This window comes from Homo sapiens, chromosome 2, assembly GCF_000001405.40.
Source record: "Homo sapiens chromosome 2, GRCh38.p14 Primary Assembly".
NCBI lineage: Eukaryota > Metazoa > Chordata > Mammalia > Primates > Hominidae > Homo > Homo sapiens.
In genome coordinates this window covers 195,202,284-195,218,429 of record NC_000002.12, presented here as the reverse complement: position 1 = coordinate 195,218,429, position 16,146 = coordinate 195,202,284, and the positions used below count along the sequence as shown (strand labels likewise).

General features: G+C 34.4%; 1 long non-coding RNA gene across 3 annotated transcripts in view, besides 1 other annotated feature; it reads left to right on the top strand.

Moving 5' to 3' along the window:
* The window catches only part of LOC105376755 (uncharacterized), a 673,333-nt gene that overhangs the window by 181,075 nt on the left and 476,112 nt on the right, over positions 1–16,146 (top strand). The window contains exons 1-2 of one of the 3 annotated variants that reach the window (XR_001739835.1): positions 13,006–13,065; positions 13,396–13,452. This is a non-coding gene — a long non-coding RNA (uncharacterized LOC105376755). Of the gene's footprint in view, positions 1–13,005; positions 13,066–13,395; positions 13,453–16,146 lie in introns of those variants that run through there. The other 2 variants (XR_001739834.1, XR_007088699.1) reach the window with 2 other exon arrangements.
* Positions 5,330–5,939: an enhancer, noted in NCBI's record as "OCT4-NANOG hESC enhancer chr2:196077215-196077824 (GRCh37/hg19 assembly coordinates)". NCBI's record gives its function as "activates a minimal SCP1, AML or CMV promoter by ChIP-STARR-seq in naive H9 embryonic stem cells {active_cell/tissue: H9 hESC(naive)}" and the evidence as "EXISTENCE:reporter gene assay evidence [ECO:0000049][PMID:30033119]".

Here is a 16,146-nt window from a genome sequence, read left to right as displayed (position 1 = left end):
CTAAGCAAACTAGGAGGAGATATTGGATACCTACAATAAACTTACAATAAATAATATAATGAATGTTGAAAATATTGAATAATTTACAAAATTATTTCATCTTTAACCACATCTGAACAACATTGTTTTGGAAGTGTTAGCCAGTTCAGTAGAGCAAGAGAGAAACAAAACAGAACAAAAAGTTTGGAAAGAAGAAACAAAACTGATGTTATTCTTAGTAGACAGGATCATTTACGTAGGAATTCAAAGAGGATCCACAAATTAATTATTAGAATTAATGAGCCTAGCAAAATTTCTAGATTTAAAGTGAATTATTAAAAAATCAATTTGATTTTCACAAACAAGAAATAGAAGATAAAATTTAGAAGGTATTCAAATAGTATAAAAACTATAACATGCCTAGGAACAAATTTATCTAAAAGTATGCAGGACTACCAATGTATAACACTATTAAACATTACTGAGATAAATTAGAAAGCTCTCTATAGGGAAATATGACATAAACATGGATTGAAAACTTAATAATAATCTAGAGCTTGAATGTAATTGCAATCAAAATCTCAATAAAATTTTTGTTTGGTAAAGTTGGAAGGCAGATTCTAAAATTTATACATAAGTGCAAAGGGTCAAGAGTGGAGAATACACATATCAAAGAAGTAAATGATGAAATTACTTGCTTTACCAGATGTCAACATATATAATAAATTGCAGTGATTAAGATAGAGGAAGGCAAGTAGACCCAATGCAGCACCAGAGAGAGCTCAGAAACAAACCTGTACATGGACACTTGATATATGACAGAAGCAGTTTGACACATAATTGAGGAAGGACATAATTTTCATTAAATGGTGCTGGGTCACTCATATAGTTATGTATTTATGTATCTATCTATAATCTACTTTCTTCATTCTATTGATGTATTATTTATCTCTGTATTCTATTATGAATCTGTTCTCAGCGTCATCCATTCATCTATGTATACTTTATTGTTTCTTAAAAGATTTGAGGTAGTTTACGAAAATTCAGGAAAGAGGAAAAAATAGTTGAAGGAATCAAGAGTACTGTTTTTATGTATAAAATGTGGTTTCTGTTGGGAGGAGTCCAGTGGTAACAAAAATGTAATCAGAGGAAGGATTTCTTGTGCATGTGCAACTGAATATTCAGGACAAATCATGTTTCATTTGCTTGGCCATCATCATAAGGGTTTGCAGCTTCTTGGAAATAAATTTCAGGCAATGCTTTTAATCTGGTTAAAATTTAAGACTGAGAGATGCATTCCATTTAACAGAAAAGGGGACTGGCCGGGTGCCATGGCTCATGCCTGTAATCCCAGCACTTTGGGAGTCCTAGGTGGCTGGATCCCCTGAGCCCAGGAGTTCAAGACCAGCCTGGGTAACATAGTGAAACCCCGTCTCTACTTAAAATACAAAAATAGACTTGGTTAGGTGTCATGGCCCTTGCCTGTAGTCCCAGCACTCAGAAGGCTGAGGTGGGAAGATCGCTTGACCCTAGGAGGTCAAGGCTGCAGTGAGCCATGATTCTGCCGCTGCAGCTTGGGTATCAGAGTGAGACCCTGTCTCAAAAAAAAAAAAAAGAAAATATGGAACTAATTGCTGTTAGTGTTATGTGCAATGAATTAAATATTTGTGTTCACACTACCCACCTCCAAATTTATATTTTGAAACCATAAATCAATGTTTTTACGATGTGGGGCCTTTGGGATATAAAAGAGGGTTGAGCCTTCATGAATGCGGTTAGTGTCCTTACAAAAGAGACCACAGAGAGCTCTCTAGCCTTCTTCCTTTATGTGAGTATACAGTGAGATAATGGCGGTCTGAAACCTGGAAGAGGACCTTCACCAGAATGCAACCATGCTGGTGCCCTGATCTTGGTCTTCCAGCTTCCAGAACTGTGAGAAATACATTTCTGCCATCTATAAGCCACCCAGTCTATAGTACTTTGTCTTGGCACCCTGAATGATTTAAAATAGAAATTGTTTCCTGATTATTTGGCTTTGTGCTTTTCTGGCAGAATTGAACTACCATGAGGTTATGATGATCTTTGCCAATTTCTGTAACTAGTAAACAAAATAGCTTTAATTGTGGTTCATGTGATGAGGATTTTATTTTTCTAATCATTGACCTGTGTAGATCAGATAACCTGTTATAATAAGGGTATATATTATCCACACTGTGTTAGATATATATTGACTATATTCGCACACATTTTGGAGTTTATTTTATGTTATTGGGTTTACAATCCTCCAACATTTTGTTTGACTTATGGCTCAGATTTTTCTAAACTGTGAATATTTCCAAGTAAATAACTTTTTTTCCTTTAAAGATGATTAGAAATTGGTAAGTATTACTTTGGCAGTGAAGCATAAAAACCCACATCAGAGGGAGCACACACACAGAAACTTACACTCTTAAATATATACATATACAATCTGAGAAGGCAAGCTGTTTTAAGAAACAAAAGGTTTTTAAATCAGATAGCTGTATAGTACTGTTTTGTAGACAAGAGGAGACTTATGAGGATGTGAATATATGTAAGTAGTTCCATTTGTGGAATTGTATAAGAATGAATGAAGCTTTAATGAAAATTTAATCTACCTTCAAAATATTAGAAGACCTTAATATTGGAAAACAATTTTTTGCATTGTACAGGTGCAAATGCTAGATTTTTGTAGGTGACAACACCTTATAATAACTGTGAACTGAGCATACTATGGCAAATGACATCATGATCTCTCTAATTTAGTATTTTACAAGAAAACTGTTATGAGAAATTTAACTAAGGGTTGCAACATCCAGTGCTATTAAAGTGTTCAGAACAAACAAAGTCTTTCAAACAGAAAATTATGAAAGAAATTGGGAATTTAAGGGAGGATCTGGTACTAACAAAGAATGATATTTCTCAGAGTGGACTTTTAAGGTCTAGTGCCAGACCCAGAGCACAGACACTGCTCAGGGCAGGAGCTTGATATCTCCTCAGCAGTAGATAATAGACGGTACTAGTCAGGTAATCAGGGTCAGTCAGTTATAGTATTTTGGGATTCCATTGCAAAATCACATCCTGGCTCAGATCTGCAAGCTTAGTTGTCCTTTAGGAACTACTTGTTGAATAAACAAATGAATGGGTAGTGTGGTGATAGTAGAAAGCTGGTATCTCAGATCAGTGATTAAAAAAACATTCAAAGGAATTTGGTTAATGCCCAAACAGAAGACATTAACCAAAAAGAGGGTGGGCAAAGGACCAAGGAGAGTGGCAGTAGGATAAACGTGTTGACAATGGAGGCAACTAGTCAGTTACAAAATTCTCACAGCTGGAGCATGACCCAGAGACTGGGATGGGTGTAGGTCCAGGACTTAGGTCTTGGAGTTTCTGGAGGAACAAAACAAAATCTCAGACTGAGAAAAACAGATCTACTGGTGCAGTTATCAAGGTCGACATCTTAGGGAACAAGAAGGTGTGTAGCAAGGTTGAATGAACACGGGATCACTTGAGGTCTGAAATGGGACTGTGTTTACCCTAGAACCTGAGTGAGGTTTGAACCTTCAGGAAAGAATCAAGTTTCTGTTTTTGAGAAGGAATAGTTTCAGCAAACAGATTAAATTCATATTTATCATGGCAGTTTGACTTTTCTTTCCAATGAAATTCCATGGAGAGAATAACATAAATTACATTACCAGTAAAATTACATGCAACGAAGGAACATATGAAGTAGTTAGATTCTTAACTAAACAGTTCAACTCATAAAACAAATTTTGGAACAATCTAGCAGGCAGCTTGAATCAGGTGTGGATCGATTGTTGGGAGACAATTTTCCGTGGGTTTCTAGTGGTTCTGCACATCGTATAAGCAAAACTTTGACTGTCCTTTGTTCTGGATGTTGGCATCGTACCTTGGAAGACAGAGAGGATCTCTCTTTAGATCAAAGTACAGCCATGCTTACTATCTAGTACAATAAAAATGTCTCTGGAGCAAATGGTAAACACAATTACTGCCATCATTAAAGCTCCTGATTCTCTAAGCTCGGGTTCCTTTCCTGTAACACAACCCGTTGCGTGGGCTTGTGTCAGTTGGCTCTCTTCACGTTACTCTGTGTTAATTGAGGCTTTGGTAACCAGCCCCAAAATGCTGATACTGTGGCTACTGCTATTGATGTGGGTGAAAAACTGTTCATCTCTGCTCTAGGAGTCTCAGGTGTTCTACCAACATTCATGAAACTGCGACAGAGTGACAGAGTGGCTAACAAGAGAATGCAATCTCAGACATTTTACAGTTTTTGGCATAACTAGAGCTGACTTTGGAAGTCTGTAAATATAAAACTTTATTCTAAATAAGCCAAAAGAATATTAAAGCTTTTAAAGACGCACCCGTGCATGGCCAAATCAATATGTTTCTTTAAATCCTTATTCTAACAGCATCTTTTAGGTAATTCATCTTTTAAAACATCATGGTTATCTAATTTAGGACTGAAAACTCAAAGTTACTGAATTTTACAGAATGATTCCTATAAGAAACTAAAGACATCTGTATTCGGGGAGAAAATGTGGAGGAGTGCCTTTGATTGACTGATTGATTAGATTGATTCAACTCATCAACATATATCCTAACGACTGTATTTTCCCCGTTGAAGTTGGCATTATTTTTTAAGGTATGCTGTGGGAATTGTAAATCTCTAAATGTAATTGGAAACAGTGTATTGGGATGATATTTTAAAAAAAAACATTGGCCTTTCTGCAGGAAGACTTGGCTTAAGGTTCCAGATTTTAGGTTTTATCTTATGACCTTGAATAAATTATTCATTTTCTTTGAGCACTGTTTCAGTCTGTTTGGTCGACTATAAAATAACATAAACTACGTCGTTTATAAACAAGAAAAATGTATTTCTTACAGTCCTAGAGGCTAGGAAGTCTAAGATCAAGGCACCAGAAGATTCATTGTCTGGAAAGGGCTCCCTGTCTGGTTCATAGATGGTGACTTCTTGCTGTGTCCTTACATAGTGGAAGGGGTTAACCAGTTCTCTCTGTTCTCTTTTATGAGGGCATTAATCCCCATCATGAGGTCTCTGCCTTTGTGATCTAATCAGTTCCCAAAGGTCCTACCTCCTAATGCTCAAGGGTTTGGATTCTCACATATGAATTTTGGGGAGACACAAAGGCTTTCTATTTTCTCTCATTTTCAAGATCAAACTAGCCCGAGCCCACAGGATCCAGATTGAAAGCAATTGCTCTCCCTTTTTCCTCATCTAAACACCAATGATACCATAAAAGAAGCACAAAATCCCACTTCATGCACAAGTATTTCCTGGAGCGGTCTTTCCCTCCCTGAATTCTAACATTAATTAGCATTTGTACTATACACGTATGACAATCATGTACTGCCTCACGACACTTCTCTTACTTGCTATCTTAACATGCCATTTAAAGTAAATTTATTTAACAAAACCCACAGAAACATTCATATCTTGTCTCTAAAATTAGAATGTAAACTCTTTCAGGGAAAAAGTTTTATAATTTTTGTTTTCTTCATAGCACATAATGCAGTGCTTTGAAAGCAGTGTGTTCCTTAAATACACGGGGATTCAAGTGAAGAGCTTAGAATGACAAGAACAAATAATTCTATTGTGTGAGTTTGCCGACCATACTGTGTTTAATCTGACTGCTTAGTCCCATGCTGAGCTCTCAAAGGCACAGATTTAATGTGGTAATTCCAATCGATTTAAAGTAAAATGAAAGTACTGGGAAAGGAAAACTGTTGGCACTTTCTAATAGCATGTAATAAGTTTATAGACTTGGAAGCAGTATTTTTAGCCTTGGCATTTGTTTCAGAATGTGTTGTGTTTCACCCTATTTTTGCTAACTACTTGTGGAGTGTGGTATTATTGAGCTGAAGAGTTTATAATACTCTCATCATTTGTCAGCGTAATGTTTGGAAACTATGGCATTAGATAGGAGAAGTTGTGATTTATATTGCCACTTTTTAATCTTCTCTGTGACAGTCTTCTGGGAACTGTGAGACGTAAGCAATAGCTGAAAATGAAGGTAATGCGTGAGACCTTATCCTGACGAATGAGTTAGATGATGTGACATTAGATACTGTGTCTTGCTGTTTTTGCCATCTATTTGCATAATGATGGTCCTCATTATTCTCAATAAAAATTAGGGTCATTGTATTTCATAACCTCAGTATTAGGCAAAACCTTATGAAACTGCTGATACTTGATCTTTTTGACTTACTAAAATGGTAATATCATATAATTTAACCTACCTAATATTTAGCTATCTAAATTACTGCCTCATGTATACCCTTTTTGAAAGAAAAGATCTTGAGACCAGTCTTTTCTATCAATGAATCCATGTTTAAATGTATTTAAAATAGATATCTTTAGACTCTTTGAATGTGATATTATTGAGTTTTGTTTACCTTTCTTTCGTCTTACAGTTAGAGTGGTACCTGTACATGGCAAGATAATCATATTCTGTTCTGATACAGACTCAGTGCACTTTCCTTGTAGCATCTAATGTCCAGCTTCTGAATATCAGCTTTTTTAGCATCTGTTGTCACCACCCTTGCCAAGAACAGACCAGAAAACTTCCCAATCTGGAACCAATGACAATTAAAAGTGCTTTGTCTGTTGTTTAGTTAGTACAATCCAAGCAGCAACATTTATGATGGGAAAATACAAGGGTGAAAAAGTTGTCCTGTATCTATAAATAAAGTGTGTGATTTTAGGATAGGATAGCAATTGTGGTTGAAGAAGAAATTAAACAATAATGTTGTGGGCTACTTCTAAGGCAGATCATGAGGATCACATGGCAGTGATTCAAATGACAGAAAACTGGTAGAAATTTTTCGCTATAAATAAATGTTATAAAAGAAAATGTGACAGATCTTAGTAATAGATTGGACAGTTTGATGGAACAATAAAAACTTCTGTTCCAGACAGAGTACAAATGAAGATTTACAACACTGTGCTCTATCTTGTTCTCTTTGCACAAACTATGTGAGCACAGGCCTACACCATCTGGTATGGTCTATGTAACCCATATGTTTGTTATTATACTATTTTACCTGGAAGAGTAAATTTACATGAGTAGATTTTTTTTGTTGTTGTTATGTAAAGACCTTTGAGTTAGACAAATCAAATGTAAAGTGGGTATGCTAAAGCAGCTAAGGTGAGTTTGTGCCTGCAATTTGTCTGTGAGAAGAGATTAACCTATTAAAGACTAAAAAGCAATTGTAGGTTATGCATATTATATTAGTAAATGGCACCAATGCCTGAGAGTTGTAAATAAAAATGATTTATTATAGATTTTACAAGTCTGTAATATTTTATTAATTGTACAATATAAGAAAACTTTTCAATTATTTTTGATGTGTTATAATTAACCATAGCACATAATTTAAAATATTAATCGAATATGCGGGAAAATACTTCCATCAGATATACATCCAGTTATTGCCTATCGTTTGATGTCTAAGGAGACATATTTCTTCAGATTTATTTTGAAGCATATTTAGTATACATTGATTCGGGGAAGTACAAATATAACTATTTCAGTAAGTGTAATACACATAGTTATGAAACATTCTCTTAAAAAATTGTATTTTTCTCTAGGCAAGAGAAACTTTTCCAATTATCCTTTAAATTTGTAGTCTTAAAACAAGACAAAGTATTTATTATCTAATGTTGTAATAGTATAGGTACATTATAGGTGTATGATTAGGAGTATGTGATCTGGAACCAGGCTGCATAGCTTCAAAACTTGGCCGCTTATGTGTTTCCAAACAAGCTGTTTAGACTCTCTTAGAAACAGTTTTCTTTTCTGTAAAATGAAAATAATATTGGCTACCTAATAGAGTTTTCATGAGAATTAAACATGTTTAATACCTGAAAGCTCTTAGAACATTGCCTCTGCCTATGCCATTGGCAAGTCTCAATAAATGTTAGCTATTATTATTACTACCCACTGTTTTCAGCAAAATTTATTTTAAAAACTTAAGTATGCTTAAAAGTAAAGTGATTTAAAGAAGTTATTTTGTTGTCTTCAAATACAGACAGAAAAATGAGAAGTAAAGAGTTTTGTATTAAAAAAGAAGTGAAGAAAGTTATACATATATATAACATACAAATATCTTTGGGGTGATATGGGTTGAATTATTTCTCCACCCAAAATTTATATACTGAAGTCTTCATTTCATTGTGACTGTCTCTGGAGTTGTAGCCTTTGCGAGCTACTTAGGGTTAGTTGAGTTCATGACAGTAGGGCCTGCATGATGCAATTAGTGTCCTTGTGTCCTTATTAGAAAGAGAGTAACATTTTTTCTCTCAATCTCTCTCTCTGTCTCTCTCATTCTCTCTCTCTCTCTCTCTGCCTTTAAGGATACAGTGAGAAGGTGGCCATCCGTAAGCCAGGAGGAGGGTCTTCACCAGTAGCCAAAATAGGCAGCATCTTGATCTTGGACTTCCCAGTATACAGAACTGTGAGAAATAAATGTATATTGTTTAAATCACCCAAGCTATGATATTGTGTAATAGCAGCTTGAGCAGACAAGTAAAAGGGACAACCAGAACATTAATTTATGGGCTTAACATTTTAAATACTCTCACTAGTTATGGAGAAAGTTCTTCAATATAATTTCTTAACTGTACACCAATAAAAGAACTTTTTATCATGTAAATCACATCATTGTGACATATGTTTTTTTTTTAACAGCACACTTGACAATTTAAAGAATGTGAAACCATCAACATGGCAGTTGTTTCTGCACATCAATATTCTGCTTAAGTTTCTCTAGGAACCTAACTAGTCTTTTACAAATGAGATTTTCCATATAGAAAATCTGAAAAAATTGACAAAGAACTCCTGCAACTAATAAGTGATTATAGCAAGGTTGATGAATACTAGGTTAATATGTACAAGTCAATCACCATCTTATATATTAGCAATGAACAAGTGAAACTTGAAATTAAAAACAATATCATTTCTATTATCACCCCCCAGAATGAACCACTGAAGTATAAATTTAATGAAATATGTACAAGGTCTATATGAAAAAAACTACAAAACTGATGGCAGAACAAAGAAACACTAAGTAAATGGAGAGATATTCTATGTTAATGGATAGGAAGACATAATATCATTAAGACGTCCATTTTCCCAACTTATTCTAAAGATTTAATGCAATCCCAATAAAACTCTCAGCAAATTATTTTTGTAGATATCGTAAACGATTATAAAGTTTATATGGAGAGGCAAAAGACCCATAATAGTCAACAAAATACTCAAGGAGAACAAAGTTGGAGGACTGACACTACCCAAATTTAATACTTACTATAAAACCATAGTAATTAAGAGAATGCGGTATTGGTGAAAGAATTGACAAATAGAGCCATGGAACAGAATTAAGAACCTAGAAAAAAGGCTCACATAAATATAGGCAACTGATCTTTGACAGAGGAGCAAAGACAATGGAGGCAGTCTTTGACAATGGAGTAAGGGTAGTGATTTTAACAAGTGATGCTGGAACAACTGGACATCCACATGTCAAAAAGTTAATTTAGACACAGCTCTTACACTTTCAGAAAAGATTAACTTCAAAATGGATGATAGACCTGAATGTAAAATGCAAAATTATGTAACTCCTATAACATAGGAGAAATCTTGTGTATGGTGAGCATGACTTTTTAGATACAACATCAAAGTATGATTCATGAAAGATAGATTAGCTAGACTTCATTAAAATTAAAAACCTCTGCCCTGCAAAAGACTCTGTCAGAATGAGAAGACAAGCCATAGAGCGGGAGAAAATATTTTTAAAAGACACGCCTGATAAAGGACTGTTATCCAAAATATACAAAGAACTCTTAAAACTCAACATTAAGAAAACAAACAATCGATTAAAAATGGGACAAATACCTTAACAGATACCTCACCAAGAAATATATATACAGATGGCTAATAAGCATATAAAAATGCTCCACATCATATGCCATCAGGGAAATGAATATTAAAACAGTAGTGAGATATGGCTATGCACCTATTAGAATGGTTGAAATCCAGAACAATAACACTAGAAATGCTGGTAAGGAGGTAGAGCAACAGGAACTCCCTTTTGTTACTGGTGGAAATGCAAAATGGTACATCTGCTTTGGGAGATAGTTTGACAGTTCCTTACAAGATGAAACATACCATTACCATTTGATCTAGCAATTGTGATCCGTGGTATTTATCTAAAGGAGTGGAAAGCTTGTGTCCACACAATAACTTGCACATCAACGTTTATAGCAGCTTTGTTTATAATTGCCAAAACTCTGAAGCAACCAAGATGTCCTTCAGTAGGTGGATGGGTAAATAAACTGTAGTATGTCTAGACAATGGAATATTATTCAGCACTAAAAAAGAATGCACTATCAAGGTATAAAAATACATCATGGAAACAAATTCATATTACTAAGTGAAAGAAGCCAATCTGAAAAAGCTGTATATTGTATGATTCCAATTGTATAACATTTGAGAAAAGGCAAAACTATGGGACAAAAGTAAGAAAGAGTTGCCAGGGGTTTGAAGGAGGGAAGGATAAACAGGCAAAACACAGAGGATTTTTAAGGCAGCAAAACTATAATATTCTATATGATACTATAATGGTGGATACACTCTAATGGTGGATACATGGCACTGTGCATTTATCCAGTCCCATAGAATGTACAATACTAGGAGTAGTCCCTAATGTGAACTGTAGACTTTGGGTGATTATGATGTGTCATTGTAGGTTGATAAATTGTAACAGTGTATCCCTGTGGTGGTTGCTGTTGACAATTGGGGAGGCTACGCATGTGTGGGAGCAGGGAGTCTATGGAAAATCTTTGTACCTTCTTCTCAATTTTGTTGTGAACTTGAAACTGCTCTAAAAACATTAAAAGTCTTAAAAAAATAGGACACCAATAAGTGAGAGTCTGAGTAGTAGGAAAACTAACAGCAAGCATTTACATTGAATTTACGTTGTATAAAGATCCATCTGTAACATGAAAATCAAAAGTAGTTTTTTTTTTTTTTGAAACATACTTCAATAGCCTTGTAAAATGACATTTTTCAACAATGTTTTTGTAATGTCATTTATGGAGAAGTGGTTAAAATATATACAGTCAGGGTGGCATTCAAATGCAATGATTTTCATTTATGCAAATAACACTTTAATGTTACTTTCAGAAAGGTGAAGGTTAAGTGCAGTAAATACCAGTAATAGCGATATAGTTTGCAAGTGAAATTAGCAAGATTTTAATCAGTCTCTGAAGTGTGAATTAGAGATAAGAAGAAAAATGTTCCAAATAAAATTTTCTTAAAAGGTCAATGTCTTAAAGTCATAGTGTTTATAATCTGACCATTTCTTAATGCAAGATTAGTATACTGGTAAAACTTATATGTGAGAGTAAAAGACATTAAAAGTGCAGAGCACAGGATTTAGTAAGATGTTTTTATTATGACAAACCTAGGTACCATTTCACACTCTTTCACTCCTCACAAATATGCCATTGAGATGATTTGGGAAGAATCAAGAAGATTTGACAGATATCTTAAAGGAAATGCTGTTTGAATTTAAGTTTTTAAAAGTTGCAAAATAGTATATTCAGTATGATGGCATTTATTTAAAGATACAAAAATTATCCCCAATTGTACAAGAACATGAATGGAAATGACATAGTTAACTCTGGAGAGGGGGAGAAGAGAAAGAGACAGGGGCATTAGTTGTAATTTTTTTCTTTATTTGATAATCTGAAGAAAAAATGGTAACAAATTTACATCAATTAATCCTGTGTTGTACTATGCTTTATATGAGTCTGTGTGTTTGAACATTTTATTTTAAATATAAAAATGTAAGCTGAGTGCTGTGGCACATTCCTGTAAACCCAGACACTCGAGAGGCTAAAGCAGAAGGATTGCTTGACCAGGAGCCACAGGCTATAGTATGCAATGATTGTGCTTGTGAATAGCCACTGCACTCCAGCCTGGGCAACATAGCCAGACCCCATCTCTAAACAAATAATAAAAATAAAAATTTAAAACATGTAGTAACACATTTGAAAATATAAATAGTGAGATGCAAAAACTATCCATGGCAGAAGCATTATATTTGAATAAATAACTGCTAATATCCATGAGCACTTACTATAGGACAAAAATTTTACCAAATATTTCACTTGTATTATCCATGAAATCCTCTCAGTAACCATATAGGTAGGCATTATTATAGGCCACTTTTTACTGATAAAGATTTAGAAGGTTAGAGTAGGGACCTTCTTCATCTTGTTAATTGCCATATCCTTGATATCTAGAAAAGCAACCAGCTTTTAGGAACTGATAAATATTTAAATATGACATTACAAAAATAAAACAAATATATATTTTATAAAACAAGTATATATATAGTAATTCTATCAATGTAACAGTGAAGAAAACACATTCTGCCTTCTTAGAGCTTCTATTCTGGTGGGAGAAACAAACAATATAAAAAAGTCGATGAGAGGAATAATGAAGAAAAATAAAATAGGTGAAAAGGGAGAGAAAGTGAATGAATAAATTAGTAAATGTGTAAGATAATGTTTGCAGAGACAATACTCTTTGGTTCTCTTGCATTCTTACATATCTTGCTGGGTGGGCCAGACTCTAAGTCCCTGACAACTGGAATATTTCTTCTGATTGAGAGATGAAACTATGTCTCTTTTCTCACTTGGACAAAGAACAGGCTTGCTTACTTATTGCTATAAAACCAGTGGATCCCCAAACTCAGTTTTCTCATTTGTGACATAAACCCGCTGCTTGTGTAGTTTCCATCATGGTCTATTACGTTGCACTGGTGGGACTTAGGGTCAAGGGGAGCCAATGCAAATATGCTGATGCTTATGCTGCTTTCTGTGTTGTAATAAAGACGTTTGTCTCTGATCCAGGAAACTTACATCTCTGTTACAGGCTAATTTATTAGCTTGCAAGTAGGGTAGAAGCAAATTCTAGACCTGCAGAGTTAGTAAAGTTGTCACCTGGAATTCAAACCCAGGTCTCCCTGATTACAGAGCCTACCTCTTAACACTCTGGCCATTGTACTGGCTTGATACATAATTAATTGTATCTTAATGCCTGCTACCTTGAATGACCATTAACACTCCTCTATTTATAATGTCAATGCTTTATTTAATTTTTTTAATTAAAGTTTTTTTCTATCCTTATTGCATTGGCTCTCAGTGGATCTCAGGCATATTATTTAATACCTCATAAATATAGTTAAAATTCAGATAAATATTTTCTATTATTGATATGTAATCAAAATTATATTTAAACTAAAAGTGAATGAAAACTATATTCTCATTTTATTCCTTTATACTTTCAGATTTACATTGATCATCCACTATGTTCCAGATACTACATGATACTAACAAGACAACAGGTATTATGATGCAATCTTCTCTTTTTCTTGATGTATTAGTCTATGATTATGAAAACTATACTCAGAATGGCTACTGACGGCCAAATTATGACTTTATTGACAGCCATTACCAAGCTTTATTAGGAGCTCTATTAACCAACTACAGACCACATAAGCAAGAACATAAGTATGTTAGTGACAAAGTTATCTATATTGGCCTTTTATGCTCTTTTAAATTATATTTTGAAACCTATGCATGGCGTAGTGTAAAGTCAAGTAAGCCTTAATTTCTTTTTTTAAAATAATATAAGCCAGATTAATTTCTTTTGCCTTAGGCTTTCCTCTCCTTGTTATGGTGGCTAGTTTTTGCTCTATTTGCAAAATAGAGCAAAATTCAATAGCCCTTCATGCTAAAAACTCTCAATAAATTAGGTATTGATGGGACGTGTCTCAAAATAATAAGAGCTATTTATGACAAACCCACAGCCAATATCATACTGAATGGGCAAAAACTGGAAGCATTCCTTTTGAAAACTGGCACAAGACAGGGATGCCCTCTCTTGCCACTCCTATTCAACATAGTGTTGGAAGTTCTGGCCAGGGCAATCAGGCAGGAGAAAGAAATAAAGGGCATTCAATTAGGAAAAGAGGAAGTCAAATTGTCTCTGTTTGCAGATGATAGGATTGTATATTTAGAAAACCCCATCGTCTCAGCCCAAAATCTCCTTAAGCTGATAAGCAACTTCAGCAAAGTTTTAGGACACAAAATCAATGTGCAAAAATCACAAGCATTTTTATACACCAATAACAGACAAACAGAGAGCCAAATCATGAGTGAACTCCCATTCACAATTGCTTCAAAGAGAATAAAATACCTAGGAATCCAACTTACAAGTGATGTGAAAGACCTCTTCAAGGTTTCAGTCCCTTTAAAAACACAGTTCTCCCTTGAACCTCAATCCTGAGTAGGGAAGGTAAACTAATTTCTGGATATCTTTGGTTTATAAATATATTAATTATAAAATTTTATTTTCTGCCATAAACATGGAAATTACTTGTATCAGCAGTCTTTTGAATTGTTTGAGATCTGAAGTAAAAATCTCGAAATAGTCTTTGTACTTGTTTTTATTTTAAAGGTCACATGATATAGTGCTATGGTTTAGCACTTATACTGTTAGCTCTGATCCAAGGTGCAAGTTTAAAGAATGCTGTTCACTGTTAATTTGAATGACAAGCAAGTTTTAACTTTATTTTTCCAAAGTGATATGACCATCTGTTTATCCATCTATTTCCCATCTGTCTATCTATCTTCATATTTTTATATTGTCTGTTGGAGTTGAGCAAATTCATTTTAATTATTATCTTCTCAGTCCATACATATGGAACCAGGAGAAAAGGGCAACAAATGCTTTAATTACTCTCCTTATGTATTTGATATTAAAAAGGAAAATTAGTTTATCTGAAATATGTACACAATGTCAATCTCACATAATTTTAATTTGGAGTTAAATTTGGCATTAATAAAATAAGCATTTGTGTCTGTTGAGATTTATTGATTTATTTTGCTGAACTATGCTTGACATTTAGTTTAGCATGGGAAAGGTAAATAAAATAGTGCCTTACTATCAGAGGAAATTATGTTTTATGTAGGTTATAATTGTGAATGTTCACTAAAAGAGTGATAGTAAAATATCCAAAACAGAAAAACTGAACTGAGTTTTTAAGTAGAACAGGCATAAGTAAATTAAATTGTAACTTTTTATATATGAAAAGGCCAATGTAAAAGCTATTTTCACCATAACAGAATTGAAGTAGTATTGGATTCGAGAGGATTGAACTTGCATTTTCAATCCCCTTTGTAAATATAAGCTGCACTCTTGCTTCACTCCAGGCTTCTAGCTCGGCTGCAGTCTGTCTTCAAAACAGTGTCATTATGACTTTTAGTGTTTTTATCCACACTATTTTTTTCTGTTTTCACTAAAATGAATCCAACAATCCACTTCCTCCACTACTGACATTGACTTCACACAGATTATACATCATTACGACTATAAATTTCGGATTTGTCAGTGTCTACTGAGCCATCAGAACTGTTTGGAAATCATTTTTCTGTCTCTTTTCAATTTCCTTTTGAGTTTCCATAATGTCTATACCAAAGCCTTTATTCTGAATCCTATTGTACTTTCAATGCCATCATGCTCTATAGATTGTTACCTCACAGAGAAAAGATTATCAGGTGGGATATCCATGACTTTGCATTCCCTCTTGTAGACATTCTTATAGGGACACCCATTCTTCCCTTATGACCCAGAGGTAGAGATGCCTTTGCTTATTTTCTGAAGTAGCTGCTACGTCCATACCACAGAGACCACATCCTGTGAGCTGTCTGAATCCTGGTTAGTCTTTTTCTTCAAGAATCCTTTCCCTTCTGATTATAAGTAAGCTCAGATATTCTCAACTTTCATCTATCTTTCCTTCAAGCCCAATCTCCCTCCTTCAATTCTTCAGTGAAATGTATAACAACGTAGCTTAAGCCCTGTTTTTTCAAAATAATTACTATCTATCCATTAACTACTTCTAACAAGAAGGGCATGTTTAGTGCTTGAGAAAGCTGCTCTTCCTGCAGTCACCTCTTAACTGCCAATAGGAGTGCCCTTTTGAACCTCATCTTGACTCATCTTTTGTTTAGCACTTGACACTCTTCACCACCCTCTC